Genomic DNA, 8586 nt, shown 5'->3' with positions numbered 1-8586 from the left:
TTCAAGCCATTCTAGTAGCTGGGATTACAGGCACCCACCACCTAACCTGGCTAATTTTTGTTTTTTAGTAGAAACAGGGTTTCACCATGTTGGCCAGTCTGGTCTCGAAATCCTGACCTCAGGTGATCTGCCCGCCTCGGCCTCCCAAAGTGCTGGGATTACAGGCGTGAGCCACTGCACCCAGCCAAAACTGAATGCTTTTACGAGCACTCAAGTCACCTCTTAAATGGTTTGCTGCTTAGAAATTTATTCTGCCCTAGACACAAAAAAAAAGAAAACATCAGGCCAATGTCTCTGATGAACATCAATGTGAAAATCCTCAGTAAACTATTGGCAAACCGAATCCAGCAGCACATCAAAAAGCTTATCCACCATGATCAAGTAGTCTTCATCCCTGGAATGCAAGGAATGTTCAATATATGCAAATCAACAAACTTAATCCATCACATAAACAGAACCAATGACAAAATCACATGATTATCTCAACAGATGCAGAAAAGACCTTTGATAACATTCAAGAGCCTTTCATGTTAAAAACTCCCAATAAACTAGGTATTGATGAAACATATCTCAAAATAATAAGAGTTATTTATGACAAATCCATAGCCAACATCATACTGAATGGGCAAAAGCTGGAAGCATTACCTTTGAAAACTGGTACAAGGATGCCCTCTCTCACCACTCCTATTCAACACACTATTGCAAGTTCAGGCCAGGGCAATCAGGCAAGAGAAATAAATAAAGCGTATTCAAACAGGAAGAAAGAAAGTCAAATTGCCTCTGTTTGCTGATGACATGATTCTATCTTTAGAAAACACCATCATCTCAGCCCCCAAACTCCTTAAGCTAATAAGCAACTTTAGTAGTCTCTGGATACAAAATCAATGTGTAAAAATCACAAGCATTCCTATAGACGAACAATAGACAAGCAGAGAGCCAAATCATGAATGAACTCCCATTCACAATTGCTACAAAGAGAATGAAATACCTAGGAATACAGCTAACAAGAGATGTGAAGGACCTCTTTGAGGAGAACTACAAACCACCACTCAAGGAAATCAGGGAGGACACATACAAATGAAAAAACATTCCATGCTCATGGATAGGAAGAATCAATATCATGAAAATGGCCATACGGCCCAAAGTAATTTATAGATGCAATGCTATTCCCATCAAACTACTACTGATATTCTTCATAGAATTAGAAACACTTCTTTAAATTTCATATGTAACCAAAACAGAGCCTGTACAGCCAAAACAATCCTAAGCAAAAGAACAAAGCTGGAGGCATCATGCAACCTGACTTAAAACTATACTACAAGCCTACAGTAACCAAAACAGCATGGTACTGGTACCAAAACAGACATATAGACCAATGGAACAGAACAGAGACCCCAGAAATAACACCACACATCTACAACCATCTGATCTTCAACAAACCTGACAAAAACAAACAATGGGGAAAGGATTCCCTATTCAATAAATGGTGCTGGGAAAACTGGCTAGCCATATGCAGAAAGTTGAAACTGGACCCCTTCTTTACATCTTATACAAAAATTAACTCGAGATGGATTAAAGATTTAAATGTAAAACCCAAAACCATAAAAAACCCTAGAAGAAAACCTAGGCAATACCATTCAGGACATCAGCATGGGCTAAGATTTCATTACAAAAATGTCAAAAGCAACTGCAACAAAAGGCAAAATGGACAAATGAGATCTAATTAAACTAAAGAGCTTCTACACAACAAAAGACACTATCATCCGAGTGAACAGGCAACCTACAGAATGAGAGAAAATTTCTGCAATCTACCCATCTGACAAAGGTCTAATATCCAGAACCTACAAGGAACTTAAGCAAATCTACAAGAAAAAAAAACCATCAAAAAGTGGGCAAAGGATATGAACAGACATTTCTCAAAAGATGACATTCATGCAGTCAACAAACATGAAAAAAAGCTCAACATCACTGATCATTACAGAAATACGAATCAAAACCACAATGGGATACCATCTCATGCCAGTTAGAATGATGATTATTAAAAAGTCAAGAAACGATAGATGCTGGCAAGGCTGTGGAGAAATAGGAACGCTTTTACATTGTTGGTGGGAATGTAAATTAGTTCAACCATTGTGGAAGACAGTGTGACAATTCCTCAAGGATCTAGAACTAGAAATACCATTTGACCCAGCAATCCCATTACTGGGTATATACCCAAAGGATTATAAATCATTCTACTATAAAGACACATGCAAACATATGTTTATTGCAGCACTATTTACAATAGCAAAGACATAGAACCAACCCAAATGACCATCAATGATAGACTGGATAAAGAAAATGTGGCACATATACACCATGAAATACTATGCAGCCATAAAAAGGAATGAGATCATGTCCTTTGCAAGGACATGGATGAAGGTGAAAGCCATCGTTCTCAACTAATTAACACAGGAACAGAAAACCAAACACTGCATGTTCTCACTCATAAGTGGGAGTCAAACAATGAGAACACATGGACACAGGGAGGGGAACAACACACACCCGGGCCAGTCGGGGGAAGGGGGTGCCGAGGGGAGGGAGAGCATTAGGACAAATTGCTAATGCATGTGGGCTTAAAATCTAAATGACGGGTTGACAGGTGCAGCAAACCACCATGGCACATGTATACCTATGTAACAAACCTACACGTTCTGCACTTGTATTCTGGAACTTAAAGTAAAATAAATAAATAATATAAAAAGTTAAAAACAATAAACTTCTTCTGCCAGATACCCTAAGTTATCCCTCTCAAGTTCAAAGTTCCACAGATCTCTAGGGCAGGGGCAAAATGCTGCCTATCTCTTTGCTAAGGCATAGCAAGAGTCACCTTTATTCCAGTTCCCAAGAAGTTCCTCATCTCCACCTGAGACCACCTCGGCCTGGACTTCATTGTCCATATCACTCTCATCATTTTGGTCAAAACCATGTGACAGTTCTCTAGGAAGTTCCAAACTTTTTCGCATCTTCCTGTCTTCTTCTGAGCCCTCCAAGCTCTTCAAACCTCTGCCTGTAACCCAGTTCCAAAGTCGCTTCCACATTTTCGGGTATCTTTATAGCAGCACCCCACCCTCTATGGTACCAATTTACTATATTAGTCCATTGTCATGCTGCTATAAAGAGACTGGGTAATTGAGACTGTGTAATTTTTAAAGAAAAGAGGTTTAATTGACAGTTCTACATGGCTAGGGAGGCCTCAGGAAACTTAAACAATGATGGTGGAAAGCACCTCTTCACTGAGTGGCAGGAGAGAGAATGAGAGCCAAGTGAAGGGGGGAAGCCCCTTATAAAACCATCAGATCTTGTGAGAACTCACTCACTATCATGAGAATAGCATGGGGGAAACGACCCCCCATGATTCATTTATCTCCATCTGGTCCTGCCCTTGATGTGTGGGGATTATTACCATTCAAGATAATATTTGGGTGGAGACACAGAGCCAAACCCTATAATTGCCTTTTGTTATTTCTCTCTAAAAATGCAGATAACTCTAGTTCAAAGTGGGAATCAGAAGATAACATATTGATTGCTTTCCTAGTCCTGGAGGGACTGAGGCATCGAAGCTGAGTAGTGCAAAAGGGAAAAGAGTGACAAGTAAGAAAACAAAAATACACTGCACTACTCAAAACCACAGGGTTATCTAGGCTTCACTTGTGGTATCACAGCTTGCTGAGGAACAAATTTTAGAACAAATTTAGCTGACAAACCAATTCTAGAAACTCCTTGAGTGCACTCTCATTAATGGTCTGCTTCTCTCACAATGGTGGATACTGCTCCTGGAAGCATTTTGTATAATGTGACTCTATCCCCTAACTGGACAAGAATAAGCACAATGTCTAAGCTAGACCAATCAGAATCCATTTACCAATATTTGAACTAAAATAGTCAAGAAGAGAAAGACAGAGACAGACTGGCTTAGTCTCTTGGGATGCCTCCTCTAGTTACCATAAATATAACCTTGGGACCTGTGGGCTGGCCATCTTGCACTTGCTATGTAGATCAAAAAGGCAGAGGAAACAGGCTTACAAAGAGAATGAAGAAGCTATGCCAAGAGGCAGCATTGGTGGGATTCCAGGCTCTCCATAGGCCTGGATGCATTCTTGCTCTGGATTACTTGAGTTGCCCTTGTATCTTGAAAATTATTTTTTCCTTAACTAGTTTTCGAGTCTGTTTCCTGACACCAAAACAATCACAGTAGTACACATCTTTAGTGGGATTTGTAACGTATCAAATTGGCTATGCTGAACTACATTTCCCAGAATTCCCTGTCCTGTGTATTTCTGATGAGCATCAGAGACAGAATGATTCCTGTGGGCAATTTAGTGTACAGAAATGATGCAGCAGCCATTTTTTGCTCACACAGGTTGCTGCTTACCTCTGCTGTTGCACTTCATTGGTGTGAAGCAGCAGCTGGGCCTACAACTTGCTCTACTTTCCCATGGATCTTTCTTCAGCTGCTCCAGTTCCTGGGCCAGGTGTATATGTTTATCTGTGTAACAAAGAATTCTAAATGTTACTTTTATCGATACATTATTTTATCCTGTTGATACTAGGCCCATCCCCCAACCTATCAAAATCATTTTGATTATCTGTCATTGTGTACATTAGCAACCTAAGCTTTGTTATACCTATAATCTGACTCCTTGTTGTTTTCCTCATACTCTTCTTATTAATACTTCTGGAGGCCTTCCATCTTCTAGCAATCTATTAAAGGCATTGGGCAATAATGAAATGAGATCTAATATATTAATGTACTGCCCCTTCCTATTCATTTAAACCAGTGTTTCTGAAGATAACAACAGCTCAAAGTAATGACTTCTGCAGAAATGGAAATTTCAGTCACCAGATCAGGCTTTATGGCAAAAGAAGGCACCAAGGTAAATGTCCATCTATTGTGACTACTCTTGTGGTAAGCTTTGGCCACCACACCAGAAAATGAGAAGCCCCAGCTTCTCTTATCTCTTAACATGGTGAACACTCCTGACCCTTTTATTTTCCTTTCTCAGAACTGTAGGATAATGAAGTCAGGGAAAGTATCTGATTTGTTCCCAGCCTTATCCCCCACATCTTGCATATACCTTGCACCAAAATGTACTCAGTAATGTTTGTTGTTTTTTGCTTGCATAAGCTTGCACAAAACCCATTTTGACATGAAGGACTCAGAAAATTTTAGCCAATCCTGAAAAACTGCAGTACAGACACCACACTCCGAGTCCACAGCAACAGACACATTTCCAGCACTGACTCATAACATTTGGGAGTAAGAAAGGGAGAGAAGAAAGGAAAGATGATTTACTCCTTATCAAGCACAAAATTCCAACTTAAAACTAGAGGCTAGTCAAATAAATTGTTATCCTTAGGCCCTTTTAATTGGTCCTTGAAATTAATTTAAATTAAAATATACCACTTAAGAAAAATGAGTGTAGTAAGTTAACTGTTTATCTAAGAAGGGACAGGGAGATATAAGATATGTAGATAGTAAGATACATATATAGAGATCAAAAAATACAAAGTGGGCCAGGTGTAGTGGCTCAGGCCTGTAACTCCAGCACTTTGGGAGGCCAAGGTGCGCAGATCACTTAAGCCCAGGAGTTAAAGACCAGCCTGGGGAACATGGCAAAAACCCGTCTCTATAAAAAAAAAAATACAAAAAATTAGCCATATGTGGTGGCATGTGCGTCTAATCCCAGCTATTCAGGGGATAGTGGAAGAATCACTTGAGCCCTGGAGATTGAGGCTGCAGTGAGCTGAGATCATGCCACTGCACTCCAGCCTGGGCATCAGAGTGAAACCCTGTCTCAAAGAAAAAAAATGGCTATCTATAGAGGGAAGAAAGGAATAAAGTGGAGGAGACAAGAATAAAAGCTAGACTTCTTTGCATACACTTTGTTTTGTTGATTTGACTGTGGAATCACGTAAACATTTTATATCATTATAAGAAAATATAAATTTGTAAAAGCAGTCCTTTCATGTTAACAGTCTATACTTTAAAACTATATACTGTATGATCCCATTTATATGACATTCTGGAACAAAGCAAAACTACAGAGAAAGAAAACAGATTTGTGGTTGCCAGAGATTTGAGGGTAGGGAGAGGAGTGATTACAAAGAGGCTCAAGGCAATTTTAGGGAGTGATAAACTGTTCTATATTTTGATTTTTGGTGGAAGTTATATTTATGCATTTGTCAAAACTTATAGAACTATACATTAAAAAGGATTAGTTTCATGGCATGTAAATTATATCTTAATTGAAGAAGTATAAAAAAGCAATCCTTAATAATAAAAAGTAAAAAAAAGAACCTAAACATATGTACAGTTGGTGGCACTACCATCAGAAACAAAGCATTTCAAGTAACTTTAAAACACAGTAATGCATCTGGTCATTTTTTTGGTGACACACTCAAATTATAAAAATAACTGCAAACAATTTTAAAAGTTTTAAACCAATCATATTATTGGGAGTAGCATTTGTAACACTACTCTCAGACACCTGTGTGTTTAGCATGGGATAAGGAAAATACGTACTTACATTGGTGTTAAGAACAGATTACAATATAGAAGAAAGGAAATATGGATCAACAAAATTAAGCAAAAACCCTATTTTTTTATTAGAAGCATCAATGCATTTTATCTTAAAAAAATTTTTCCGCTATCTGCCCACTGAAAAGACCTAGAAATAACGACCAAACTAGATAGAGGCCACAGGTAACCACTGTACCCAGGTAATGGTCTCTGAAATACTTCAGGACTCCCTGGAGAAATGGCAGATTCAGGTCTAGAGCAGGAAATGTAAAAGATGAGCCTGGAACAACTTGTTACACCAGAAAATAAGCAAGTCATCAAACACTACTGGAGTTGCAGTTAAAGGACCCAGGAGCCAACTTGAATGTTCCCACTGGCAAAATATGGGAAGTTTAGGCACCAATAAGGATTATACCAGCAATGGATTAGAACAAAATACATATGTTTAAATCTGTAAGTTCATAAGGATACTTTCAAAAGCTCTGGTGATTACTGATGCATGCTGGGGAACCACTTCACATTTTTAAAGCTGGTCAATAGAGGGAAAGAATCAAGCATCTCTCCTGCCTTTCCTTTGTGAATTGTAGCTCAGAGAATGCTAGTAGTAGTAGTTGAAGGGAAGTTTTTCTTTAGCTGTAAGTATTCCAACTAATAAAGGAAGAAGTAAAAACAGAATATCCCCCTTTAGAATATGCGGAATATGCCTTATGAAAGTAGAAAATAATCATCAGCAGTTGCTAACATCCTCTTAAAAGGCTCAATATCAAATGTTATATACCTCCTGGTAGAGTACCCAATACAATAATCTATGAAGTATCTGAATCTGATCAACCACTAAATTTAACTAACAATTTTTTCTTTTTGAGACAGTCTCACCCTGTCACACAGGCTGGAGTGCAGTGGCACATTCTCAGCTCACTGCAACCTCCACCTCTTGGGTTCAAGAGATTCTCGTGCCACAGCCTCCCGAGTAGCTGGGATTACAGGCATGCACCACCATGCCTGGCTAACTTTTGTATTTTTAGTAGAGACAAGGTTTCACCCTGTTGGTCAAACTGGTCTCAAACTCCTGACTCCAAGTGATCCGCCTGCCTTGGCTTCCCAAAGTGCCAGGATTACAGGTGCGAGTCATCACACCCAGCCTTAACTACCAATTTATAGGAAAAACAGGGCACAGAGGGGTACATGCCAGCAACACCATGGAGATGCAGTCAGAAAATACAGACCATGGGAACTCTTCAGGCCTGATTACTTCAACAACAAAAAATTTGCAAAGGGAAAAAAAGACATGGAGGTGGGTGGGACCATAGATTAAAATAAATGTAAGAAATGCAATTATGCCTAAAAGAAGCCCAATACCCATTAGTGGTCATTATCATCACTCCTTCATTGCCACCCCAGTGCTAGGCAACCACTAATCCACTCTCTGTATTCTGGATTTACCTATCCTGAACACTTCACACAAATAGAATCATACAATATGTGGTTTTTTGTGGCATCTGGCTTCCTTCCCCTAACATATTTTCAAGGTCCATCTATGTTGTATTATCAGTACATCATTCCTTTTTAGGACAGAATAATATTCCATTGTATAGATACATGACATTTTATTTACCTATTCATCAGTTGATAGGCATTTAGGTTGTTTCTACCTTTTGGCTATTATAAATAGTGCTGCTATAAACATCTGTGTGTAAGTTTCTGGGTAGATATATGTTTTTACTTCTCTTGTTTATATACCTGGGTGTGGAATCTCTAGGTCATATAGTAATTCTATGTTTACACTTTTGAGAAACTACCAGACTGTTTTTCCAAATGTTTGCACCAATTTACATTCCCACCAGCAGTGCAAAGAGATCCAATTTCTCTACATCCTCACCAACCCTTGTTATTATCTGTCTTTTTTATTCTAGCCACCCCAGTGGATGTGAAGTGGTATCTCATTGTGGTTATGATTTGCATTTCCAATGATGACTCTTTAGTGTGCAGAGAAATCATTTTTCTTGAGCGTTTATTACTGAAGG

General features: G+C 38.9%; 1 annotated feature.

Moving 5' to 3' along the window:
- Window positions 3563-3763: a silencer, noted in NCBI's record as "peak2134 fragment used in MPRA reporter construct". NCBI's record gives its function as "represses an SCP1 promoter by STARR-seq MPRAs in K562 erythroleukemia cells {active_cell/tissue: K562}" and the evidence as "EXISTENCE:reporter gene assay evidence [ECO:0000049][PMID:32103011]".

This window comes from Homo sapiens, chromosome 14, assembly GCF_000001405.40.
Source record: "Homo sapiens chromosome 14, GRCh38.p14 Primary Assembly".
In the NCBI taxonomy this organism is placed as follows: domain Eukaryota; kingdom Metazoa; phylum Chordata; class Mammalia; order Primates; family Hominidae; genus Homo; species Homo sapiens.
Note: the sequence above shows the minus strand (reverse complement) of the source record. Positions and strands in the feature narration are given on the sequence as shown.